At 46.4% G+C, this 27,537-nt stretch overlaps 1 protein-coding gene across 9 annotated transcripts in view, besides 2 other annotated features; it reads right to left on the bottom strand.

Moving 5' to 3' along the window:
- The window catches only part of IGF1R (insulin like growth factor 1 receptor), a 315,992-nt gene that overhangs the window by 32,985 nt on the left and 255,470 nt on the right, over positions 1 to 27,537 (bottom strand). For 6 of the 9 annotated variants that reach the window (NM_000875.5, XM_047432443.1, XM_047432445.1 and 3 more), the window contains 10 exons: positions 22,647 to 22,861; positions 20,105 to 20,231; positions 18,264 to 18,502; positions 15,415 to 15,582; positions 14,670 to 14,874; positions 9,115 to 9,398; positions 7,534 to 7,670; positions 6,862 to 7,021; positions 1,886 to 1,988; positions 1,241 to 1,311 (listed from right to left, as the gene is read on the bottom strand). In NM_000875.5, the coding sequence (NP_000866.1) occupies positions 1,241 to 1,311; positions 1,886 to 1,988; positions 6,862 to 7,021; positions 7,534 to 7,670; positions 9,115 to 9,398; positions 14,670 to 14,874; positions 15,415 to 15,582; positions 18,264 to 18,502; positions 20,105 to 20,231; positions 22,647 to 22,861 (1,709 nt within the window). The remainder of the gene's footprint in view (positions 1 to 1,240; positions 1,312 to 1,885; positions 1,989 to 6,861; positions 7,022 to 7,533; positions 7,671 to 9,114; positions 9,399 to 14,669; positions 14,875 to 15,414; positions 15,583 to 18,263; positions 18,503 to 20,104; positions 20,232 to 22,646; positions 22,862 to 27,537) is intronic. The other 3 variants (NM_001291858.2, XM_047432444.1, XM_047432442.1) reach the window with 1 other exon arrangement.
- Positions 16,161 to 16,230: an enhancer, noted in NCBI's record as "active region_10142". NCBI's record gives its function as "activates an Ori minimal core promoter by ATAC-STARR-seq in GM12878 lymphoblastoid cells {active_cell/tissue: GM12878}" and the evidence as "EXISTENCE:reporter gene assay evidence [ECO:0000049][PMID:35858748]".
- Positions 23,180 to 23,680: an enhancer, noted in NCBI's record as "H3K27ac-H3K4me1 hESC enhancer chr15:99451095-99451595 (GRCh37/hg19 assembly coordinates)". NCBI's record gives its function as "activates a minimal SCP1, AML or CMV promoter by ChIP-STARR-seq in primed H9 embryonic stem cells {active_cell/tissue: H9 hESC(primed)}" and the evidence as "EXISTENCE:reporter gene assay evidence [ECO:0000049][PMID:30033119]".

The raw sequence follows: 27,537 nt of genomic DNA, 5'->3' as shown, positions 1-27,537 counted from the left end.
TAGAAATAAAGTCATTATTCTGCACCTGATTCCCATTCAGAGGAGGCTGCTTTTGATTGACTTTACTATAAACTGAATTAGAAATTATTAAAGAAACCATAGTAAAACCCTACATAGTATAACGGTGTTTTCACATTATTAAAGTATTTTCTTATGTTTTCTTATTTGATCACAATAATTAGAATAATCATGTCTCTTTATTTCACATCTCCTGCATCTACTTTCACTTCTCCCGAGGCAAGAAGACAGCAAACACTTTTTCTAAATGTACTCACTCAACATCATGCACTTATTTATTATTCATTTGATGAATCCGGTCCAGCCCCTCCTGAGGGCTGTTTCCTTGCCTGCCCGGGGGACCTCACAGCCCTTTCCACAGTGATTCCATTCTCCTCCTGACTTCTCAACTGTCTAACCATGTGAGCCTGCACAAGTTTTTTCCCAGAGTTCATTTCCTCACCTGCAGATGGGCATTAAGAAAACGCACATTGCAGGGGTTTAAGAAACAAATGGGATGGTGTTTGTAAAAGCCCCTAGCAAAGTGCCAGTTAAGGGTCCTAGTATCACTGGACTCAGTGACCAACCCCTCACCCTAATCCGACTCACTCAAAAGGTCTGGATATAAAAATGCTAGAAAGAGCAAAAAAGGAAATAACCATTGAGGATCACCCAACTTCCATGTCAGACCTTCCCAGCCACTTAACTGAATGGCCCTCATTAGTTATTACCAAGGGGAATGTGAATGAGCCACGAGCGTATGACCCTAGTCGGAAGGGAATGACAGAAAAATTCCATGATAAAAAAAAAAGCAGAGCTGTAATTCATCAAAGACAATTATAATGAGATGATACTCAAGCTGAAACTAGTTTAAAAGGACTGTTTTGTCAGCTGCAGCATATCCTCTGACTAGATGTTAACAATTAAAAAGCTGTTTTCATTCTAGCATAACATCTCAAGCAATTAAATAAATTGATTACTGCGCTGGCCACATTCATCTCTAAAGCCTGTGTTTCCTTGGGGCACCCCATACAGTCCCACAAGTTTTGACATATTCACTGAACTGCTAAAAACTTTGATTAAAAAAAAAAAGAAAGAAAGAAATATTAATGAAGACAGATCCAAGGCCAAAGGTAGCTCAAAATAATGCAAACCTCCTTCCTTTCCCAAATTAGCAACCCTCCTGAAAGCTCCCGATCTACCTGCCCTGCACGCTGGCAGTGCTGGTGGCCCGGACTCTTACCATCAGCAGCGCTGAAGTACTCCGGGTTCACAGAGGCATACAGCACTCCATTCCCCAGCCTGCTGTTATTTCTGTCAAAAAGATTAAATTCACGTTAACAAAACCCCACCTCCATACATTCCTGTATATACTTTCATCTTCGCTACAACAGTTTCATTTATCCTCTCTCACACGGTATCAGAACAGAATGGGGAGAGCTTACTGTCTACAGCAGCTCTTGTCTACACTCCCAATTCAGGCCTGGGTGAGCCAGCAGACATTTGCTAACACATCTTCTGGCTTCCTCAGTAGCCTGAGATTAGCGCTTTTTAAGAAACATCTGTTTCTTTACTTCATTGGAAATAAAAAGGCTTATTTGATTGGGAAGGCTAGCGCATCGCGTTTGGAAAAGTATGCACCAGCAGCAGTATCTGTATACCAGAAAAGCCAGCCAGGGGAAGGTCTGTACCATCGAAAAATTATTTTGGCTGTTGTTAAAATCATTAGAAAAGGTTCTCTTTTCCTGGAAGAACATTTGATGGGAAAATCAGGTTTTCCAGTCCATAAAATATTTCCTTGAAATCTTCAAAAATATCACCTTCACTCACATTCAAATCATCAAACCACTCAGCCACAGAAAGTGTCATAACTTTGCACATCACTGACCTCTTTCTATGGAAGACGTACAGCATAATCACCAACCCTCCCACGATCAACAGGACAGCGACGGGCAGAGCGATGATCAGATGGATGAAGTTTTCATATCCTGCTGCAGCAAAGAGGAGGAAATGATAAAATATCACCAGGTGAACAATTTGCTCATTTCATTTCTTCACATTCAGTTGGAAGTATGAAAAAAATACCTGTATATTCGTTTACTCCCCATCATACAGTAAGAATTCCTGAAGGTAAATGGTGTCAGAAATAGAACACGGCAAACAAACAATTATTTGAAAAAAGAGTAAATATGTGCAGACTGAGGCATATACTCATTTTTTAAAGTACAGTATATTCTGGTGCAATAGTTTCAATGATAGACTGAAGAAAAATAATCTTTGTACGCAGTTTAATGACTGTTAGTGAAAATGCATACATTTGACACTAATTTCCCACATTCCACAGAATGTTCCAGGGTTTGGTCCATGTCCCCGGTACCCAGCCTAGCATCTGCCATACAAGTGTTGGTTCTGTTGGTAAGCGGTCTTTGTGATCTCACACCTGTAAAAGGACTCAAATGCTTGCAGCAGCAAGCATTCTATTTCTAATAAATAGAATGAAAATTTCTATTCATTTTCATAAAATGAATAGAAATTCTTACATCTATGTACAGTCTACATCTATGTATAGGTCAAGTCCTGCTGGCCTCAATCTTTGAGATAGTTCCACAGACAATTTAAAATAAACACACACACACATGCACACACTGGACGGCACCCCTTTCCAATGCCGCTGCAGACATTTGAGTCCTGCTACAAGTCTAAGACCACAGAAGCCACTGATCATCAGAACCAGCACTTGTATGGCAGATGCTAGGCTGGGCACCAGGCACATGGACCCATACCCTGGAACATTCTGTGGGACATGGGAAATTAGTGTCAACAGGTAGCATGACAACTAGAAAAGTGGACTTCACATATGGCAACAATTCAGAGAGGAAGGGAGAGGAGAGAAGGGAGTCGAGGGAACCTCCCCAAGGGAAAACTTGTTTATGATATGCTTTCCTTGGGGGTTGTGGGGAAATGGCTTTCCTAGAAAATGATGATACTGGAGAGAAGTCAGGGCCAGCTCACAAGGGACCCAGCCCAAGCTAAGCAGTTTCACCCTCATTCTGCAGATTAAAAGGAGTCAGCGAAAGCTTTCAGGCCCAGCAGTGAACTGATCAGATTCGCGTTCCAGGGAAATGGCTGTGCTGAGGACAGACGGAGGGACCTGGCAGTAAGAGAAGGCACTGTCATGTCTTGGAGAATTGGGGGGACATGCCATGTCTCCAGGGCATGCTCTGCATTACCCAGTTCAGACCTACAAAGAAGTCACTGATCCTTGTCTTTACACCAGGCAGACTCACAGAGATGATCTGGCTTGGTAAGTCATGGCCCCAGGATGAGGCTCATACAGTATGACAGCTCATACCATCCCCCCAAGGCGAGTGACCTGGAGTCTGAGCTGTGGCGGTGCTGGTGGTGACAGAGGGCTGGATTCCAGAGACATTTAAGAGGCAGAATCCATGAGGCTTGGGTTGGAATGAAAAAGGGGTGGCTGAACAGAAAGAAGAGTGAAGGATGCTGTGAGGTTCCTGGCTTGGGTAACAAATGGATTACAAGACCACTGACTGAGCTAAGGAGCAAAGGAGAGAAGAGGCCTTTCGAGGGCAACAACTGTGATTTTGGTTTTGGCACAAGGAATCTGAGACCTCTCTGGGACGTCCAAATACAGATGTCTATGTGGAAATGGGCCTGGAATCACTGGGGATCAAGTAAACATTAATCGTAAGTCCCCTATCAATGATTATTTTGCCATGGAAAACTGTGATCATGGTTACTCTTTAAAGACTACTACAGCTATTTTAATTTTTAAAATTAGAAGTATTTTAATCGAAGAAAGAAATATTTTTATTGATATTGTAGCTCTCAAAATGGATGCAGGCTCCAGCATTTTGCAATTCCTAAAAACACTCAGAGGTGATCATTACCAACGGAAAGCTGGCAGATTTTTCTTTCTTCCCCCAAGGCCCTTATATCACTGTTTATATCACTTATACTACTGGTCAGGCTGTACTGTGTTCTTTTTGAGTTTCACATTTCAACAGGGACATGGAGAAAATGGAACACATCCAGAGAATAACAAAAATGATTAAATGGCTAGGAAACTGGTGTATGATATTGGGCTACAAGAAAAGGCCAAAAGACCTGAGATTATTTCATCTGGAAAAGAGAAGTCTGAGGAGTAATTTAATAGTATTCAGGCACACAAGGAGTTCCTAAAAGGAAGGCAGTTGCCTGAAAGCTTCCAAACCTTCCATCTCCTCTGAGGATTAAATAAGAGGAAATGAGACTAAACTGTAGCAGGACAGAGTCTTGTCTGACATAAGGAAAAATTTCTCAACAGTAAGGCCAGCACGCAGATCCAATTTCCCTGCAGTACGTGATAACATCTGCTGGAAAAATTCTATCAGAAGGACTCCCGATTTCCCACTGGCATCCTGGCACTTACAAGGTTAAAAATGGAGCAGCAAAGCCAGACAGGAACATGTCATGTCACCAAAACAAGCTGAGTTCACTCAACCCCAGAAGCCAAGGTTGCTGTTTCACAGATCACAGACCCCCAAACTAGGATCTGTTTCTAGGAGATGGAGGGGAGGAAAAAGAGGAGGGAAGGAGGCTGGGGAAAGATAGAAAGCAAGCAAGCCACTACCCTGGACAAGGCTGCAGGAATATTATGAAGCTTCTGGGTGCTGCAAAGGTGGCATAGACTAACTGGTGAGACTAGGTTAACTGGACTAGATGGAACAATTCAGACTATTTTAATTGACAAAATTATCTGCCTAAACATCCATTTACCCCTAAAAACCTGAACCCAGGAACAGTGCCAGGCACATAAAATGTTGGCTCAAGATTTGCAGTTCTATTCACCCCATCCTGCTTTTGCTGTCTGTATTAGGATTTTCAGATATCACAAACAGATTAGAATATCTGGTGCTGACCAGGTGACTACTGGAGATCTTTTTTAAAATTAATTAATTTTAATATACAAATAAAAATTGTATATTTATCATGTACAACATATTGTTTTGAAATATGCATACATTGTAGAACAGCTGAATGAGCCTAATTAACATATGTATTACATCACATTTTTTTGTGTGTGGTGAGAACACTTAAAATCTATTGTCTCAGCAATTTTTAAGAATACATCATTATTACTGTCATCATGTACAATATATCTATTGAACTTATTCCTCCTATCTAACTGAAATTTTGTATCCTTTGACTAACATCTCCCCAAATCTGCTCCCTCACCCTCAGCCCCTGGTAACCTCCATTCTACTCTCCATGAGCTTAACTTCTTAGATTCCGCATTATCAGAAAGATCATGTGGTATTTCTCTTTCTGTGTCTGGCTTATTTAACTTAACATCATGTCCTCCAGGTTCATCCAGGTTGCCACAAACGACATTTTTCTTTTCTAATTTATGGTAGAATAGTATTCTATAATGTATATGTACCAGGTTTTCTTTATCCATTCATATACATAGTGATGGACATCAGGTGGATTCCATGTCTTGGCCACTGTGAATAGTGCTGCAGTGAACATGGGAGTGCAGAGAGCTGTTTGACATACCTATTTCATTGCCTTTGGAAATATACTAGAAGTGAGATTGCTGGACCTATTGAGTGCGCTGTTTTTTGTTTTTTTTCCTTTTTTCTTGAGATGGAGTTCTGCTCTGTCACCCAGGCTGGAGTGCAGTGACATATCTTGGCTCACTGCAACCTCTGCCTCCCAGGTTCAAGAGATTCTCTTGCCTCAACCTCCCAAGTAGCTGGGATTACAGGCGTGTACCACCACCCCCAACTAATTTTTTTATTTTTAGTAGAGACGGGGTTTCACCCATGTTGGCCAGGCTAGTCTCAAACTCCTGACCTCAAGAGATCCACCCACCTTGGCCTCCCAAAGTGTTGGGATCACAGGCGTGAGCCACTGCACCCGGCGGAGTGCATGTTTTAACGTAACTCCAGATGTGAGTAGCAGAAATGTGGACACCAGGAAAGATCAGCCCACTAGACCCAAAAGTGTTACCACTAAGTGAGGCTGCATTGCTATTTTATGTGTTATGCCAAATTTGATCCCATTCCATGAACATGAAATAATCTTAAAAACTGGGTTTGAAATAAGAAATAACAGAAACTCAACACAGAACTAATTTCACCAAAATACTAAGTTTTGTTGGTCAAACAACAAGTATGTGGCCCTTGTTGCGCTTATACATCTTATAATTTGTTTTAAAATCTGAAGTCATCACACAGAACAGCCTAAGAATTCTGTCTTGTTAATGACTTGAGCATAAACTCACATTCCTCAGTCTCTGTACCAAAGGGTGAGCACCGTACATTTCCAATGCATGTGGGGACTTTAAAAGGACAGTGGAGGGTCTGCGATGCTACCGTGGAGATTCCTGCCCTGTAGCAGGCTGAACCAGATGACCTCTGGAGTTCCTTACACCCCTTAGGATTTCAAGCCCTGAATCCGAGCCCTATCTAGCTTTACTGACCAAGTAGGAGGTGGAATGGTCAATTCAATGCTTTATAAAATGTCTTTTGTTTAAAAAAAAAAAAAAGTCTTTGAATGTAAGCCAGGTTGAAAGCAACTGTCTCCTCTGGCTCTCCAGTGGTTACACAACCTCAAAGGAGAGGCTCGGATCCTCTCCCTTCCTGCCACATGAGGTAGGAGCCCAAAGCTCGGCATCTGCCCTGCCCAACCTTTCACACACAGTGCCGGTATGTGCCGGCACCTTAGCATGACCCTTCTGGAAGCTGGCCAACTCCATTTTAACAGAAAATAAGACAGCCATGAACACTCGGGCTGTCCTGATCCTGGACCACCCTGCTTTCAGTTTTACCACGTTTCTTCTCCCTCCACAAGCCTTACTTTTGGCCTGGACATAGAAGAACACAGGATCTGTCCACGACCCATTCCCAGAGAGAGATGTGGCCTGAATCCGGGCTGTGTAGTTCCCCGGGTTTAGCCGGTTTAGCTTGGCCCCTCCATACTTCCTGTATTCCTGTCTGGACACACATTCTCGCTGATCCTGGGGAAATAAAACATACATGTCAATTTCCCATGAATGCAGGAGAAATCTGGGGCCTGCCAACTAAACTCACCACACTGGGGACTCCAGCTGCCTGATCTGACCTCCCACCTAACAATGATCCTGAGTGTCAGTAAAGACAAAGAAATCAAATCTTAAAAGGTCGTCTTCAAGTAGCTTTAAGCACACCCAAAAGCTTTAACCAAACATTTTTGTAACCAAGAACTCCAGAAGGATTAAAAGTTATTAGAACTGACCTGGCCTATGCCACAAGGTTATCTTACACAATGAAATCGTTTCTTGAGGGCAAAAAGCAGCCTAGCTCTTTGCACACTATGCAGTACTCCTTGGAGAGTACAGAGTGGGTAGAAAGACCCAAATCCTCACCAACTTGGCATGGATTTTATTGTTTTAAGTCCTATGCTAACCAGGAGGTAACCTGTGCAGTCAGGTAGCATATGCTGTCAATGGATGGAAGTACATGCAGGCACGGGCCACTGCCCCAGTCCTACCTCAACTTGTGATCCGTATTTTATTTCATACATTAGAATCAATCCATTGGGATTCTCAGGTTCCGGCCACTTTAAAAAGATGGAGTTTTCAGGCCTTGGCTCCCAGGTCACTGGCCCAGGAATGTCATCTGCTCCTTCTGTACAATTTAAACAGGTGACAAAGTTGGATTTGGGTTCCCAGGGAGGGAGGCCAACACTGGGCTGACCTGAGAATAACCCCCCCATCCACACGGGCAGGACAGTGGAGATCAGCCACGTACACTGAGAATAACGCCCCCATCCACGCGGGCAGGACAGTGGAGATCAGCCACGTACACTGCCCCTGAGCGGGCTGCTCACACAGCGGAGGGTTCAGAATACACCAACCACAAAACTTGCACGTCTCAAGATGCCACAAGATCCTCCTTTCTCCCCAGTCCCTCAACAAAAAAAGCCTGCTGCCAAGCACAGCAGGAAAATCTTGGCAACCTAAGTAACTTTCTTCTACCCTGTGCCTACCACTTGAAAAAAGAAAGCTTTGTGAAGCCATCAAACACAAGCAGCCCTGGAAAGATGCTGAGTAAGCAGAAGCAGGACACGGGGCCTGCCGGCTGTGACAGGGACCCTCCGTGGCCCGCGTCTACACGCGGCAACTGCAATTTTTATGCAGGCACGAAGGATGGCCCCGAGCCCGGCCTGTGAGGAAGCTGCTAGGAGGCTGGTGCTAAGAGCAGGGCAAGCCCTCCCTGCCGGCACCAACTCCTCCAGCGGCTGGCTGACCTTGCAGTGGTTCCTTTCTTGCTTTTGCTTCTTGAAGCAGTAAACAAAGTTGTGATAAGCAAAGGTCATGGAAAGTTACAGCCGGAAAAGGCACTTGAGGGGTTAGCTGGCTATGTCTCTCCCAGGAGGGCTAAGGAAACTGAGGCAGGGAGCCTGACGACTGCCTCAAGGCACGCTACAATGGACTTCAGTGCCAGAACTGCACCCAGGAGGACCCCACACCCCAGACTCTGGTCACCTCCGTGCTCTTTCTACCACCTGAGGCCTACTAAAGGACAGGGCAGCTCTTGTTCTGTCTTTGAAGGCACCCACCTTCAAAGATGGATGAATGCCCGAGTGACAGGCAGTGTCTAACAACAAGGGAAAGCCAAAGACTAAATAAGCAAGACCAGAGGCTGCTCCAGGAGTTGATCTTGAGGGGCAATGTTTACTCTGGATCAAGGCAACTAACTGGAGACATCTCTGGACATGTGAGAGCTCAGGAGGGGGCAACCCGATTTGTGCGCAAGAGGGGGCAAAGGACAGCAGGAATGCACGATGTGCACCAAGTAGCAGGTGGAGGGTGGACCCTGCAGACAGCTCCCTGCTCCCAGCACGTTCTATGGAGAGACCAAGCTGGGAGTGGTGTCACTAGGAGAGCGTGGGCTCTGTTCCCTGGGCAGCTGGTCTACACGCCACCTGCCAATGACTGCACGTTATTTAGCAGGCAGGCCTGGGTCTAAGGGTCATGGCCCTGGGTGTCAGACCCTGTGTCCATAAAACACATCTTCTCCACTAGGTTGTGAGGAAGGTGGCAATGGGGCCAGCTGGATCATACCATACCTGCGGGCATAGTCCTTGCAAAGACGAAGTTGGAGGCGCTGCAGCCCAGCTTCTCAGCCTCGTGGTTGCAGCTGTGGATATCGATGCGGTACAATGTGAAAGGCCGAAGGTTAGAAATGACAGTTCTCTCCTTGTTATCCACTCTGCTCTCAAAGAAAGGGTACTCTGTCTCCAGCTCTTCCGGGTCGGTGATGTTGTAGGTGTCTGCGGCCGTGGTGTTCCTGCTTCGGCTGGACATGGTGGTGTTGGCCACTTGCATGACATCTCTCCGCTTCCTTTCAGGTCTGCAAGGAGGAGAGAAATGTGGCTTTTAAGTACTTTTACCTCTTTTGTCTTTTCTATGACTTGAGTAAGAGTAACAGAAGAATCTTAACCGTGGAATAGAAGGAGCTATTGAGCCCCCTTAGGTAAGAACTCATGAATAACACAGGGATGTCCTTCCTCATTATCTTGCTTTCTCTACTCTGCAAGTGTCAGAATGGGCACACAAACTCTCACCCCCACCCCCCGGCTCTCAGAGTGGTTCTTCGATTTTACCTAGAGGCAAATAGTGTCTCTGCCACTCTTGGCCAGGCAGTCCTGGCTGTGTCATCAGAACACTCAGGCCATCTGGTCACAGACCTTATGGTTAAGCCTTAAAGGTGGCAAACCTATCAGCTGTGGTTAAGATTTATTAGGGCAGGAGGGGAGAGGTGAGGTGTGTGGCAGAGGCCCCAGAGACCTGGGGCAGAGGGATATGAAAGCCTGTGGTGGTGGCTCCTTGGATTTGCTCTGACTGTGGAAATAAAGATGCCTGGAGTCTAGCAGCAAGCAGTTCCACGGACCCCAGGGCTCTCTCTTCTTGGGGGCTCCTGCTGCGAGCCCACCCCCAACCCCAAGCGTCTGTGCTTGCTACACTCTGCAGGTCCCTGGAGCCCACCCAGGCTTCCTCCCACTCAGCAGTGAGCACCTGTGGCCTCATCAAGGTCCTGCCCATCAGAGAGCAGAGTCCTCGTCATGGATTTGAATGGGGCTTGGAACAACCGAAAAGCAAAAGGGAGTGCATAAAGTCATCACAAAAAGGACATTCTCACCAAAAAGGGCAGATGAGGCATGAGGGTGCGACCCTCTAATTGCTGCTTTGGTCAAATATGAAGAAATGGGCTTTGTGGCTCCCCCTAGAAACCTTAAAACAGAATTCTAATGTTTACAGGAACCAACAAAAACAAACAGAATACGAGAGGAGCACCCAGATGGAGAAAGGGCAACCCTCAGGTCAGCCATGGACGAATGGTGAGAAAACAGGGCTGAGGCCTTCGGCTGGGGTCACCGGTCTTAGGAATAGGCAAAAGGCAGGGGGCAAATGGGATGAATTCTATCTGCCCAGGGAAATGAGAAAGTCCAGAATGTGGGAAGCTCATCAGTGCCATGGAGGGGAGAGCGCGGCAGCAGCAGCAGAGAGGGAAAGCTCACGCAGGGAACGGAACAGCCCAGAAGCCACTTGCAGGTTCGGCTGACGCTCGGCAGGCTTCTGGCTGGTCCTTAGGTCAGAACCTGGAAGGGGAGAGCAGAGGGCTTTGGGAAAGGGCCTCTGAGGCTCCCCAGTCTTCTCAGCCCATGGATTCCCCTGAGGAAAACACGGTCCTTCTTTGTGTAGTGGCACACGGGGGTCCTACCGAAGGCATGAACTGCCCAACACAGATATGCTCGTTCCAACAAGCAGAAAACCACAAGGTCAGGGCGTGTACATTTGCTTTCACAATACTGGGGGAGGAAGGGTAAGGACATGAGGCTGATCATCCACAATCCTCACACTCTGCAAACCAACCAACTAGCTAACCAAGCTTCCCGGAAGGGAAAAACACAAGAAACCACATTTACTGTCAGGGAAATCTTTGTCAACACATCATCAACAAATTTCCTGCCTACCTTCAAAACCAACACAACATACACTTGTGTCTGTCAGAAGTTGCTTAGGTTTGATGTACCGCAAAATAATTCTGTCAAAACCCCTCTCCCGGCTCAGCCCACCCCCATTTAACTGGGATTACTTCATGAAGTATACTCAGTAGTTTACTTGTTTATCAACATCACACTTTTAGGGACTGCACAGCTCTCAATGCTGATGACATCAAGGCAGTGACAAGGGGAGGGAGGTGACACAGAACATTATCTGGAAGGCAGGAACAGGGGAAGCACAATGGCCCATACATCATTTTTTTTGGTAAACAACTACATTTCCAAATCGTACGCCCAAAAGCAAACATTACTGCCAACTTTCCCCACTCCATCCCATAATACAACCTAGCCCTATTGGAAAACCTTTTACTTTCCAACATCTGTCAACATTTTAGCTAGTTAAACCAAACTATGTGATTTACAAAATAAAGACAGTAGTCAAAGAAAGGCATTTACTGCGAATATTGACTTCAGAAACTAGTAAGTTTTACAAACTCTAGCTTCCACTGTACTTCAAAACATACAGGATATTCTGGACAATTTATAAGGAACTAAATCTTACTTAACTGGTTTTATCCCACAAATACATTGTTCTCAGAATGAACTGAAAGAAATCAAATCCATTTTCGGACAATCCACGTGTAAAACAGAAAGCCAGCCTCTGTGATTCAGTCATTCTCTCTGCTGGACACTCCTTCACCTGGACTCTGCCAGAACTCAGTAGGAGGCAAAAAAACAAATATTAACTTCTTAAAAATTATGGCCTCTCACCACGGACAAAATATTGTCTTCATATACATCCATGAAAACAGAGAATCACAAGTTGGACTTGTCTTAGGAGAGAGAAAGGAAGGACTCGGGGGACAGATAAACACACTTCTCCAGTAGAACACAGGAAACTTGTTTTGAACCCAACACCACCAATGCTGTGCATTAATAACATGTCAATCACAGCTCTGCCTTCACGTCACTTCACCTTGTGCTCCACATCTGATGAGAAAAAAACAGGTCTTGCCTCGTAACTACAACTGAAAGCAAGGGGCCTTTCAGCAAAATCTTTCCAAAACCTTGACTCACAACCCGAACCTCCTGCTGGTTGGTGGAACAAGACAGCAACGTAACCAAGGGCCCATGATAGAGAAAAACAAACTTCCCGCCCAGCCTGCTTTGGGACACTCTAAATCCATCCTTCCGTGTGGCGGGCAGCAGGAGCTGCCACGAGCTAAGCCTCTGCTGGTCTAGGTGGAAAGGACCACGAGAAGCAACGCAATGGAGGAGAAGAGGGGGAAAAGAGTCGGTGTGTGGGAATGAGGACCAGGTCCCAAACGGATTCTTAATTAATTAGGATGTCAGAGAAGTCACCAAACCTCATTGAGTTCCAGTTTCCAAACCTCTTTGCAATCTTTCTAGTCCTCAAACTTTCTGCTTTCTAGGAACCACCAGTGATACAAAGATATCCTGGATAAGAAAATGGCCTTGGGCACTGAACCTCAAGGTTCACATTCAAAGCCCTGCCACACACCAGCAGGCAGAAGACTCCCCCAGCGGGGCAGGCTAGGAGAGGCCATGAGGGCCTCGCAGGCCCTTCTCACAGCTCTGGTGTTTTTTTTTTCTTGAGATGGAGTCTCGTTCTGTTGTCCAGGCTGGAGTGCAACGGTGCGATCTCAGCTCACTGCAACCTCCACCTCCCGGGTTCAAGCGATTATCCTGCCTCAGCTTCCCAAGTAGCTGGGATTACAGGTGTGCACCACCACGCTTGGCTAATTTTTTGTATCTTTAGTAGAGACAGGGTTTCACCATGATGCCCGGCTGGTCTCGAACGCCTGATCTTGTGATCCACCCACCTCAGCCTCCCAAAGTGCTGGGATTACAGGCGTGAGCCACCGCGCCTGGCTGCTCTGGTGGTTTGAACTTCGAGAGAGGAGGGGAGGAGAAAAAAGCCACCAAGCAATGAAGAGGCGCACTCTCAAAAGGAAATAATGCCTCCAGTTCTAACCAGTCTTTATTTCCCACTTTACTGATTTCTCGAAGTGAGATAGCTATTTCAACCATTTTGCAAATATCAAAAAGGTCACTTGGCAGAAAAAAAAAATCACTTTAAAAACCATTTGTTGTTACAGCCTAAGAAAGCCTGTAAGAGCAGAGTCACTGTGGAATAAATAGCCGCTACAGGCTCCTCTCAGGGTCGGGGGCAGTGAGGGGAAGGGAACGTGCTGGGTGGGGTGCTGGCAGCGGGTGCTGTGGGGACTGCGGATGGGCAGCTCATGGGTGCCATGCTGATTTAAATCCAACTCCTTGGCCTAGTTTTCAGGCATGAGGTCGTTTCCAAAATCTGCACTATAATCTTACAGGAAGAGGGGGCCAGGGAGCACCACTGTGCTTCCATCTCCTTTCCCACACACTACTGGGCTAATCCTTTTTTGAAAGGAAAAAAAAATTGTTTAACATTTTTTATTGTGTTAAAATAAAATTTTAAAACAAAACAAAATATATGTAAGATAAAAAGTTGCCATTTTAATCATTTTAAGGGTACAATTCAGTGGCATTAATTGCATTCACAGAATGGTACAGCTATCATCATTATCTATTTCCAAAAATTTTCATCACTCCAAATAGAAAACCTATCGATTATGGAATAATTCCCATTCCCCTCCACACTCTATCCCCATCCCCTGGTAAATTCAAATCTACTTTCTGTCACCATACATTTGCCCATTCCATATATTTCACACAACATAAAATCATACACTATCTGTCCTTTTGTGTCTGGCCTTGTTTCACTTGGCATGGTGTCTTCAAGGTTCATCTGTGTTGTGACATGGATCAAAATTTCCTCCCTTTTTATGGCTGAATAATATTCTACTGTAAGGTTCGAGCCCATTTTATTGAGCCACTCACCTGTTGATGTACACTGGGTTTCCAGATTTGGCTACTATGAACAGTCCTGCTATGAACGTTTACTTTCCTCTGCTTTTGTCCCCACTCCCCAGAAACCAAGACCACAGCAGAGGAGCAGAGTCCCTGGGGCAGGGGCTGTGTTGCTTTGAAAGACAGAGTAACCACGGAATAAACAGCCAATGCAGGCTGTCGCCCTACACTGCTTCCCAAACTTACTTGTACAGGATGCCTGTGGCACCTGGCTATGTTTTGAAGTCAGGCCCTTTCCAGCACAGACTCTGACTTTTTTCCCTCTTGCTTCACTCCTCCTCTGTGAGGCTGAGAGAGGCAGTAAAGATAATTAGGAAGGGCAGAGATGGACCCAAATCCTGGCCTTTCCTCTCACCAGGCAGCAGCTGTCAATACTCTTTGAGTTTCCCCTCCCTGCCTCTACCACAGGGTGCCCACCTGCTCTCTGTGGGGGGTTGTGGCTGAGACAGCAGTACCTGTCACACCGGTGGCCCCAGCAACCCAAGCCCTGGTCCCTGTTCCCTTCAGGGCTGACTGGCTTCCGCAGGGACTCACTTCACCGAACCTGTCATCTTTTTCGGCTCCGTCTCAGTGGCTACTGTATTGTACCCCCCAGCTGCTGACTTACACACTACCTGGTGGGGAGAAAGGCAACAGAACCGGCCTGAGCAGTGGGTTTTGCCAACTGAAATTTCACATGAGCTGGGTACCTGGGCACGAAGATGGAGTTGTGCAGGAAATTCTCAAAGACTTTGCGGTATTCAGCCTCCTCCTTCTCGGCCTGCTTCTCGGCTTCAGTTTTGGGGCAGGCGCAGCAAGGCCCTTTCTCCCCACCACACACCTCAGTCTTGGGGTTCTCTGTGACCTCCTCAATGTCGATGGTGCCGTCGGCATACTTCCTGATGGGGATTTTGTCTTCTCGGAAAAGAAAAGCCAAAACAAGAGTGGGAATGAAAGCCGTTATACATGCTTGTAAGGAAAAATAATAGCTCTCAGTACCTTTAATCAAGAAGATAGCTGGTCTCGGCCAGATGTGGTGGCTCAAGGCTATAATCCCAGCACTTTGGGAGGCCGAGGCGGGCAAATCACCTGAGGTTAGGAGTTTCAGACCAGCCTGGGCAACATGGTGAAACCCCGTCTCTACTAAAAATACAAAAATTAGCTGGGCATGGTGGTGCATGCCTGTAATCCCAGCTACTCGGAATGCTGGGGAATGAGAAATGCTTGAACCTGGGAGGCAGAAATTGCAGTGAGCCATGATCGTGCCACTGCACTCCAGCCTGGGCAACAGAGTGAGACTCTGTCTCAAAAAAAAAAAAAAAAAACCAGAAGATAGCTGGTTTCCAATGGAGAACTACACTGTTGTCTGATACGTGTAATATTAGGGCTCAGGCACATTACAACCACAGGAATGAACGGTCACACCCTCCGTCCAGGCCGCTGCTGCACCCTTACCTTTGGAGCAGTAATTGTGCCGGTAAAGGTAGCCGTCCTGAGGCTGCCGCTGCCAGCGCACAATGTAGTAACTCAGGTTGCCGTTGGGCAGAGAGGGAGGGTTCCACTTCACGATTAACTGAGAAGAGGAGTTCGATGCTGAAAGAACGTCCAAGGGAATGGAAGGAACTGGAGAGGGGAACAAAGAACATTCTAGAAAATGAAATGAACTTAAGAGTCAGGCTATCAGATACTCTGGCAAGCCAACAGGAAACTGCCAGTTTGACCTGGATAAGAAAATAACAATGAACAATGAAATACAAAGTGAAAAGTGAACCTTATTTTGAAATAGTACTACTATAAATGCCAACATTTCCCTTTATAATCTATTTCCTCCGGTAATCTCTGTGAAAACAAACATTACTGAGTTGTAAATGGAAAAAGGCTGCGGGGGCACAAGCAGGGTTAGAAGAGACAATGTGAAAATCTACAGCTAATTCAAACACCTGGTATTTCTCATTTATTACAACTGCCATTCTCCACAGTGCTGCACTCCGGCAATTTCGACAACTGGTAAAACAGGCTGACTTGGATTTCATCTGAGATTTTGAATCTCTGATAAAAATGTCATGAAGCCAAATGGAAAGAGGAAGTGGAAAGGGGCCTGGAGAGTCTGTGTGTGTGAAGGAGTGTGCATGCCCATGTCACAGCTGTGTGTAAGAGGGATGGGGGAGAGGCAATGCAAAGAACACGGAAGTCCACCATTTCCACAGGCATCCTTCAGTACAATGACTGAGGCATGACTCTGAAAAGCAGTTTAGAACTGCAAACGCATGGAAGCCTCATTTTGAGCAAAGGACTCTGTCACCAGCAGAATGAATGCCGATTATAGGCAAAGCATAGTTATCTGATCAAGCTTTACTTATGCTGACCCCTGAACTGAAACCCAGAGCTGAAGTGTGCATAAAGATCAAATGCATCCCAGAACCACTGAAATCTTGTCCTTATTGGGTCACAAAAAAGCATCAATGTTGATGGTTTTTCAAAGCACAGGAGACACCTTCACTGGATATCACTTAAGCAATATGTTTGCCTAAGCCATTTTTAAAACTTGAAAAGGGCGGACAGCTTGAGGGTGCTCCAGGTTATACGATACACACAAGGTTCTGAACATCTTTAAGGGATGATACTTTGGAAAAAGGTTATGACTAATACTGGCGTTTTCAGAGAAAACACAACCACTTGATGCTCAGCCACTTTAGGGTTTCCAAAAATAAGTACTTCAAAAACAAACAGCTCATTCCTAGATACATTCTTACGATAGGTGTCACCAAACAGCAGAGGCAGAGGACCAAGTTCTCGTCTGTCTCCGCTGCGTGTAAGGACAGAGGACAAAACGTAGTGAACTGACTCATTGGTACAGTGCCTGGTTTCCATCTTTGTGGAAAGGAAACAGGTTTCTTGAGAATCTGTCACAATAAGCAGATATTCCTATGTTTCCCAAACACTACAGTGAATTGCTGGCCAGGGGTTACTTCCAAATTTTAAGATGAAAAACTTCTTCTGTTGCACTGAACCTCTGCTACACCAACCCACACGCAGGATCAGAAGCCTGTGCCAATTTTGTTTCAATAAGCACTTTACCCAGTGACATGACTGTGGCCACTTACAGGGTCATGGAGATGGGGTAGGAGTGGAGGAAGGAGCAGGCGTGCACAGCAAAAGGTTTTCCCCACCAGCATTTTCTTCTCACCCTCCTCTCTGCCATTTAAACTGATTTTGTGCTCGCTTATGGGTATTTAAAAACACCTTACCCACTAAAATAATGGCTATTATCAAAGAATGTTTATCAGTGCTATAGAGTGAATGCCTGTGTCCCCTACCAAAACTCACATGTCAAAATCCTAACCCCTAAGGGGATGGAATTAGGAGGCATGGCCTTTGGGAGGTGATTGGGTCATGGGAGTGAAGCCCTCATGAATGGAATCCAGGCCCTTCTATGAGAGGCCCCGGAGAGTGCTCCCGCATCCCTGCCACCATGCAAGGACACAATGAAAAGACAGCCATCTATGAGCCAGGGAGTGGGCCCTCACCAGACACCAAATCTGCCAGCGCCTTGATCTTGCACTTTGTGGCTTCTGGAACTGTGAGAAATACATTTCTATTGCTTATAAGCCACCCAGGCTACACTGTTTTTTTGTGATAGAAGCTCCAATACACTAAAACAATCAGTGTCTTTAAAACTGAAGTGGATTTTCCTACTTCTAAACTAGTTTTTATATACTGGAAACTATTAACGTTTGCTTTTACTGTTTCCAGATCTGGAGTTGAGAAATGAGATGGTTTAGAACCTAAAGATAAAGGAAGGAGGAACCTCATCATCAGTGAATACTCTGAATATCCACAACATACTACATCTGCAGGCTTTCAACTTTTGTTGACCTCTTTGGAACTCTATAAGCTCCAGAATGAAGATGGAAAACCAGTGAGCTACATGAATTAAGTGGAACACAGATCAGCATGGTTTCAGTTCCTGGAGGATTGAACATCAAAACAAACAAGAAACAAGGGCAGCTGAAGACGGCTGTTTCCAGGCTGGGCCTTCCAATGAAACCAGCCCAGCACCCTGGAGGACCTGGGCTCACAGGCACAAAGCAGGAGATGATGGAAGATAGTACCGAGGCCAGAAAATGGCACAGAAGAGCCTAATGTGTTAGCAGTGGGGAAATGAATATGACACAGTATTACCTATTGACAAGAAAGACAACAGGCATAGCTCACTGCTAACCCTACAATGACACCTGGTACAAGCAAGGCCAGTGAGCTTGCGAAGAAGTGTGGATGCTGGGGGCTTGTCTAGGCATGGATACCTGAAGCATTGGTGCGAATGTACAAGATCTCACTCTTGGCCCCACGGATATGGTCGTTCTCCACCATGGTGAGGGTCACAGCCTTGACGTAAACGGCGTACTGAGTCCAGGGCTTCAGCCCATGTAGTAAGATGCCGGGCTCCACGTCCTTGTTGGGCGGGAGGTCCACGTCCACCATGTTCCAGCTGTTGGAGCCGCAGGCATCCTGCCCATCATACTCTGTGACATTCTTAAAGGGTCTGAAAGACAATTAAGTTCAGAGAAAGTTCGGGGCTCTGACATCAAAACCCTCAAAAATCTTCCCCAGAGGCCCAGCATGTCACACTTTCTATAATGGGAGGTCTAAATAAACAAATAATCAATTAGACTTTTATAGAAGAAGAAATGAAGTGACTGGACTCTGGGCTTCCCCAGTCGGGCATTACAGAATTGAATGGTCTGCCTCAGGAAGAGCCACTTCAACAGTTACTGGGATTCAATAGTTACTATTCCTTAAGAACATATGCAAAAACTATTTTTCTCTCTTCTGATTGCAGCATTTTTTCATCAAGAAAAAAACAAGCATAGTCAGTTAATGCAAATATCAGATATTGAAAGAAGGTAACTGTTGGAGAAAAATGACTTTCCTACAGACAAACAGAAGTAGCTTCTAAAATTCAGATTGCTCATAAACAATTCTGATGCTTAAGCATCTTATAATATTCAAATATTTAGTTTCCAGATTGCCTTAGAAACCAGCATCAAGTCCTCAGTGAAATTACCAGCTGACATTGCCAAAGCACTGGTGTGACTATCAGAGAATATAGTACTTCGCACAGATGCATGGTTGGGTAGGTATTTTATATTTATCAGCTAAAAGGGCTGGACAGCTGCTGGCCGCTGGCTTCTGAAACAAACATGAACAAAACACCGTCTGCTGTCATGGGATGGGAGATCATGAGGGGCTCCCCTGTGTACAAACTCTGAAAGCCTAGTAATCCTAAGTACCCAATTTCTCATTCATAGGACCCCAGCTCTGGCAGGAGGAAAGAGTACAAGATGCTGTCATAAGGTGCCTCTGGTTGCTGCTCTTTGGAAGCCACACATCTGGGAGAGAGAACTATGGGATTAACATGGGACCTGGGTAAGGGGGATGGCTAAGTAGACCGGGGTAGCCACCTGGATATAGAAGGCAAAGGAAGGAAGAGGGAGATCAAAGAGGGCTGCAGTCGGGAGGAATAAGCCTCGGCTGCTTAGATGGGGGAATGTCATGTGATCACACAGGAAAAGCTCCCAACAGAGTCTAGGAGAAGTCACAAAAGGCTCAAGACATGAAGGTTGTTCTCTCTCCACTTTTCTTCGCTTGTTTGGAAGGCTCATGACCTAGAGCAGAGGGCCACAGCTTGGGAGAGGCACACAGAGAGAGAGACAGGAATAAGATGATACAAAAGAGCCACGTGCCTGCAGGGTGTTCCTGGAGTAGGCCTAGTAGGTAAGGAGGCTGAAACGATATTTCAGTGAAGTCCCCCATCATCGTTCATGAGTCTGGACTGACCTAATTCTGGAAAAAGCAAGCTTTCCCCATTTTGGGTTTATTTTATTCAAACACCTCTAATCACTCACTAAAGAATGACAGGCCTCGAGCTAACACTTTCCCAATCATGGCTGTCACTGGCTGTGACTGACATCACAGGGACAGCCCGAGAGGGTGCATGAGGATGAAGTAGGGATGTTTGGCGTGGCTCTCCCTGGGGACTCTGCTGACCCCCTGTATTCAGCCAGCCCATTCAAGGATCGAAAGACTGGCCTCTCCCATTCGTAGCCCTGTCAACAGAATGGCATCACCCAAAGCAGAAACTCACGCTTCCTTGTAGTAAACGGTGAAGCTGATGAGATCCCTGTAGTCAGGGGGCCGGTACCGGTGCCAGGTTATGATGATGCGATTCTTCGACGTGGTGGTGGAGGTGAAATGCAGGACGTCACTTTCACCTGGGGCAAAGAGTACATCCGTGAGTGACAGAGATTCATGTGTCTCTGAAAAGCACCTGTCTTGCTTGGCACTGCTTCCCCCTTCCCCAAAGCTGGCTGTATATGCTAAGTTCCCTTCTGGGCTTCCTCAGTGGCTTTCTCGTTTTCCACTAAGAAATCATACATTTCACTATGCAGAGCTCCAAGGGCTCCATCCTTTGTTTTAGGTCAATCAGTTACGCTGGCTACTTGCCCAGGGACTTGGACATGAACCTGGGTTTCCTAACCTGAAAACAAGGGGCGACTTCAGTGAACGAGGTGAACTTATCTTTCTTCTCCATCCCTAAGATCCTGGCTATGAAAGGGGGCCTGGTAGGGTGAAGGTGAGCCTTTAGGCTGCCCTGAAACTTCTTAAGAGAGACGATGACACTTGTTCTGCAGTTGTGGATATCTGCCTGTTCGTGTACAACCACCAAAGACAGGTAAGAGACTACAGGTGTGCCACAGAAAGGAACTTTTCTTGGTCTAAACTTGGTATCAAACTGGAAGGACACAGGAACTCCTGTGAGGCCTCCAGCTAGGGCTGACAAACAACGGGAGGCTGGATTAAGCACTGACAAGAAGATCTCACTTGGCCAAGCCTAACGTGCTCTATGGGAAGTAGCCTGGCTGGCGGGTATGGCAGGGAAGCTGTGCCAAGTGTCTCTCTTATTCCTTGGACCAAATTCAAACTACGATAAGGACCAGGGAAAGACTGATGACTGCCCACCCTCATGGAGACCCAGAGCTCTCTGACGAATTGTCCTTTCGCCCTCTTATCTGCCTGAATCCCACTACACACTCAAGAGGTGAAGCAGAGGGACTGAAGACAGTAAAAGAGCTAAGAAGTCTTTAGGACAAAATGTGCGCAACTGAGATTGGGAAATGTCACAGTTCCTGCTGAAGTGTTATTTAGAGAGGAAACCATGATTTTGCTTTCAAAAGAAAATAAACGGCTACTATGTATTATGATCTGACAGGTCAGACTGGCTGACTCTAAGGAGACAAGCACTCTGAAATACTCGGATACATCCGATTTTACTATGATCTGAACAGGGAGCAAGGCAGGGGCTTTGCAGGGATAGAGTGAGCAGGGGGCGGGAGGCGGCGCTGGTCGTCAGCCTGCTGTTCAGCCCTAGGTCAGTCAGCGTGCTTCCCTCTAAGATCCCCCAGAGCAACAAGTGTCGCCAGGTAAATCCAGACACCAGCGAAACAAGCCAAAGCCAAACACGCATCGGTTCTGATTTGCCTCCCTGCATGTGTGTCTGTCTGCACACACGCACAAATCACCCTTCATCATACAAATTACTTTTTTTCTAATACCCTTCCCTTATTAAAAGCCAAAGGTGAAAAGACGATTTACTTTTATAACCCTATCCAGCCAGAGAGCCACGCCATTCTCAACAGCCGTATTCTACACAGGGTTAGATGAGAAAGGCACTGCTGTATCTCTGATATGAGACCTTAAAGTTTTATAAACAGTACAAGGCTGTAATTATATTGTTCTCAATTTAAAAAGCAATATCAACTCAGGGCTGCAGGCTCACTCCATCTTTTTCATGTTGGGGTGGGAGAAACAAGGCGGCCGAGTGTAAGGGACAGGAAACCCGTGGCCCACAGGGGCTGCGCTTAGGGCAGAGCCCCCTCCACCCCACAGGCCTGTGCTTCCCTTCTGTGGGAGCAGAAGGGTAGAGCTCATAGGGCTGAAGCACACTGGCTCTTCCCTGAAAAATAATCGGACAGGGCATGGTGGCTCAAGCCTGTAATCCCAGCACTTTGGGAGGCTGAGGCACGTGGATCATTTGAGGTCAGGAGTTTGAGGCCAGCCTGGCCAACATGATGAAATCCCGTCTCTACTAAAAATCCAAAAATTAGCTGGGCATGGTGGCAGGTGTCTGTAATCTCAGCTGCTCGGGAGGCTGAGGCATGAGAACCGCTTGAACCGAGGTGGAGGTTACAGTGAGCCAAGATCATGCCACTGCACCCCAGCCTGGGTGACAGAGTGAGACTCCATCTCAAAAAAAAAAAAAAAAAAGAAAAAAAAAGAAAAAAAAGAAAAGAAAAAAGAAAGAGAAATATCTAACTGTGCACCTGTGTATAAAAGGACATTTAACTGTGCATTCTGTAAGCAGCACTTTAAAGTTTGAGAACCTACTTATAAGTGTTTCACACACTCACAGAGATGTACAGAATTTATAAATACGAATACATCACGTATCTGCCCACTACTGATTGTGATGACATATAAGTAGGAGCAAAGTGCTAGTTAAGATGGTCTAGTGGTCCCCCATGTGAAACCAGGAGGGGCCGCAGAGGAAAGCTGCCATCACACATGGGAGGAGGGTCTGCTGTTATCATGATGGTTGGGCCCACGGTGTTTTGGATGCTGTCACTCACAGGAGGCTCTCTCCCCGTTGTTCCTGGTGTTTATGTCCCCTTTGCTTTGGCGCCCTTTAGTCCCCGTCACTTCCTCCATGCGGTAAATTTCGGAAACACATAATTTGGGATTGAAAGCAAAGTACATTTTCCCTGCTTTGATGGTCAGGTTGCGGTGGTCCCAGTCCCACAGTTGCTGCAAGTTCTGGTTGTCGAGGACGTAGAAGGAGTAATTCCTAGAAGCACAGAAATCGATGTTAGCGCACCTGCCCTTGGCCACAGTCCCCTCTAGCCTGCTGGCCACGTAACACAGGTCCTCTTTGCCACCTGCTCCACAATACATTTCCTTTGCCAATAAGAGATTTAGTTATTAACACTATAGGAGAACAGACAGTTGCTGTTAACAATGGCAGCAACATGATTCAAGGATAACATATCAAAATCGGTAAGATGCTAATTAATTCTATGACCACTATTACCATCAAATAATGCTTCTTGTACCAGAGGATGTTACTAGAATCATTCCCAAGAAATGCCTTTGGTTATTTTTCTCAGCCAAGTATGTACAACGTGCTTGAAAGCAGTCCATGAGAGAACAGACATGCTCTGCTACCCAATCGGAACAGCGTACACTTTGCTCTAAAGTCTCCCATTATCCATGGAAGTAAATCCTGCCCAATCAGCAGCATGATGGGATAGGAGACAGCATGAGACAGGGAGACAAGCTTGTGGGGGGTCAACCCTGGGCCTTCTCCCTCCCCCATTCATCTTTCATTCTGAGCAGCCCCAGCTCCAGTCCCTGGAGGTGTGGGGGAGGAGGAAGAGCCACTAACATGCAGTGCTCTTGGGCCTCTCATCCAGGCAAGAGGACTCGGAGTCCAACACAGTGGTTCTCCAAGTTCAGTGTGCACAAAGCTTGTTTGCAAAGGGCTGGGCCCCACCCCCAGAGCTTCTGATTCAGCTGGGGTGGGCAAAGAATCTGCATTTATCACAAATCCCAGGTGGTGCTGACCCCTGCTGTGGTCCCTGGACCACACGTGGAGAACCAGCAATCTAGGAGAGGCTGAGTTCCAGTGAGGTGGTGGAGGACCAAAGCCCACCAAACCAGACGTGGCTTCTGCCCCAGAGGGTGTGCACACGAGTAGCAGATCCAACCAGCACAGGAAGCCGTTCTATCTGGCTACCCAGGTGGCAGGACAAGTCCATCCCTGGAGAGGCAAGAAAGCAGACAGCTACGGCTTAGGTCTAGAGAAAGATCCCCGCAGTGGGCCTTTCTCTCTGGCTTCCCCAGGAAGGCAGCAGACAATGCCAGGGTTGACTTCTGAGTCCTCTGTGCTGATGGGCCTGATCCCCATGGACCGTGAATCCTTCTTCTCCTCTTCCTGCTCTGCTTCTTACTAAGTTTGGGAATCAGTGCAGTACTTTGAGTGACTTCTAAGATCCACTCACAGATCTAATGTATAAACACACAAAGGAGAAAGAACCCCAGCCCTCCCTGCAGAGCCAGCGTAGCCAGGACAAAACAGAACCCCTAAGGCTTCGTCTGCCCTGGAGGCTATGTCCATTGGGGATCTCTCTGCATCTGGTGAGGGTCTTCATTTACACCCAAACCAGGACCTCTAACCAGCTGGTCAATCCTCAGCCTGATTCTCATTTACAGTAAAGCACAAATTATGGTTACAATGCTGCCAAGCAGCCCTGTGACATTTTCCTGAACATTCACAAAGGGACGTCAGACCAGGAAGGAGTTCAGAGACTGGGACCCAGGACCAGAAATGCCATGAATGAGCTGCACAGCCATGCGCAGATCCCTTAGTGCTATCTGTAGCCCTGTTTACTCACTCGTAGGACAACAAGGGGAATGCACAGGTGACATCTAAGCTCCCTGTCTACTTTAAGAACGACCAGAAGGAGTCACAGAGCCACCACGGAATCTGCATCACAAGCCTGAAGCCCAACCCTTTCCTGAGCACTGGGCTCTCTGTCCACACAAGTGCTGGGGGTGGAGGTTGGAGTCCTGCCAGCACAGGGGTGCAGTGAGCACACAAGTGAGTCGAAAGACAGAGCCTCTGAAGCTAAGTCAGGCTCCTCACACGCCCATCTTCAGGCCTCTGGACACATTAGTGACCACCAAACCGGTAGCAAAAACTTGTAAGTCAACAGTTCTTTCCTTTCAGTAAGGGCTCCCTCCTGAACACACAGCTATCCTGGAAAAGCAGCATAAGACATTGTCCAAATGATCCCAGATCTGGTCAATGCAACACAAGGTGTGTTTCCTGGGGAGCAGTGCCAGGATATGGCCCAGCTGGCGCTACTGTTGCTGGGGGTAGACCCCATCCATACCTGCTGTTTCTCACTACCAGGCTGCAGGTGACACTGCTGGAGGTCAGAGGGGCTCCATGCAGTCATACAACGGAAGGAGGGATGGAGTGGAAATGGATGTGTCATAAGCCCATTCTTGCTCATAGGTTTCTCCAGCTCCAAAGGAGACTGCAGCGATGCACCCCCAAATGTCGGGCTGCTTCCAGGTACCTGAGTTAGTTACAGGACAAAATCTCCTTGTTGATGAAGAAACCTCTGGGCTGCCGGTAAGGACCAATTAATCAGGCCAAACTTCCATCTACACCCAGAACCAGGCCTCTTTTCATAAACTAATTTCACTAGCAGGGAACGGAACCACACCAAAAATACCTTCTGAACAAAACATTCTTCTCCCCCACGGGAGGAAGCATGAATTATAAACCAGGAATTTGACAAATGAATGGCAGGCACACTGAAATTCTGTGTATTTGACTAATCACTTTGAAAAGCAAGATTATCTTTTTACAGTAAACACAAACATTTTTTACAATCATTGAAGAGGCTGGGAGCCAGGATACCAATATCAATAAAACCCAGGCATTATGGAGCCTGTGGAAGCTAAAGAAAAATAAAAATAAAACCCTTGTCAAAATAATAATCAAGCCATTCATGAGCTGCCTGTCAATACCATGCTTGTTTTTCGAGCCACAGCTTGGGGCAAGGCTCCCCGCTAAATTCCTTCCATGATTAGGTGAGAATTAAGAGAAGGTAAAAGGCAGAGACCTGTCTGCACATCTTTAAAATATGCATACGCTAAAGTTATCATTGTTTCCTGAAGAAAAAGATTACTTAAGTAAATTATTCAGTAAATGTGATTTCCTAATTGTTTCTTAGCTTACTGCCTTTACATTCAAAGAATGCTTTTAAAAATTAGGTTTTTTTTTTTTTTTCCCCTTGAGACAGGGTCTCACTCTGTAATCCAGGTTGGGGTGCAGTGGTGCAATGACAGAGCACTGCAGCCTCAACTTCCCAGGCTCAAGCTACCCTCCTACCTCAGCCTCCCAAGTAGCTGGGACCATAGGTATGCCCCACCATGCTTGGTTAATTTTTCTTTTCTTTTTTTTTTTTAACAGCTGGTATCTCACTATGTTGCCCTGGCTGGTCTCAAACTCCTGGGCTCAAGCAATGCCTTGCCATGGTCTTCCAAAGTGCTGGGATTACAGGTGTGAGCCACCACACCTGACCAGTTACTTATTTTTCTTTAGCTTCCATGTGCTCTATGATATCCAGATTTTATTGATATTGGTATCCTGGTTCTCAGCCTTCTCTATGTTGTAAAAAATGTTTATTTCTACACTTGGGTAGGCCCTATCTCCCAATCTGTAGACCACACAGGATGGGAACAGTTGGTTATCTTCCTGAGGACATCTCTATGTTATCTCTATCGATATTTGAGTGGTGAAGACAGCCCCAGGTACACGGTTCAGAGCACTCCATCTGGGAATCCAAAGGTCAGGTCTGAGCCTCATCTCCAGCATTTACTGAGGAACCCCTCTGGGCAAAAGATTTATTCAGCTCTCCCAGGCTGGAGTCTCTCAGCTGCAAACTGGGGGTGCCTTCCCTGCTTTTCTGGCTGAGGCCAGTTGGAAGAATTGGATGGGCTAAACATAAAAGGATACCGTGAGCTTTTAATCACCCCACAAAAGTGCAGGATGACATGTGCTATTCTCTGAAGTGTGAAAGTCCCCTGGAACAAAGTCTCAGAACAGGAAGGTCCTGTGCCCTGATAAATGGAGCTGAACCCGAGGTCTCCAGCCTACAGAGGTAGGAAGGGACAGTTTCCCCATTTTCAGTGCTTGCTGACATACTGAAAACAATTCTGCAATTATACAACCAATCATTCCAGTTCCTTCCTTCGAGGAGAAAATTGCCTCTTCACGGCTGTCTCTAGGGGGCATCAGAACCCAGGACACAGGCTGTCATCAGCAACAGAGCCATCTGCAACTGATAAGAGTATTTGGCCTTTTTTGCCTTTCTGCAGATGCTCCCACCAATCCATCTGCAAACAGGCTGGTTTATATCATGTCCACTCTCCCCCAAATCCAATATTTACATCAACCTTAGGGGTTCAGCAAGGGTGGATATGTCTATCTAGGTGGAACCAGGCACCATACAGATATTCAGACAATGTTTCCTCTTTGTTTAGGTGTTTCTTAAAAATAGCTTTACTTCTGAAGTATAACCTGCCTATCAAATATTCACCCATCAGGCCAGGCACGGTGGCTCACACCTGTAATCCCAGCACTTTCAGAGGCCGAGGCAGGCAGATCACGAGGTCAGATGATCGAGACCATACTGGCTAACATGGTGAAACCCCGTCTCTACTAAAAATACAAAAAAATTAGTCGGGCGTGGTGGTGAGCGCCTGTAGTCCCGGCTACTCGGGAGGCTGAGGCAGGGGAATGGTGTGAACCCGGAGGCGGAGCTTGCAGTGATCCGAGACAGCGCCACTGCACTGCAGCCTGGGTGACAGAGTGAGACTCCATCTCAAAAAAAAAAAAAAAAAAAAATTCACCCATCATTCCATGAGCTTCCGTAAATTTACACAACT

Source organism: Homo sapiens, chromosome 15 (genome assembly GCF_000001405.40).
Source record: "Homo sapiens chromosome 15, GRCh38.p14 Primary Assembly".
In the NCBI taxonomy this organism is placed as follows: domain Eukaryota; kingdom Metazoa; phylum Chordata; class Mammalia; order Primates; family Hominidae; genus Homo; species Homo sapiens.
This window is presented reverse-complemented; position numbering and strand designations above follow the sequence as displayed.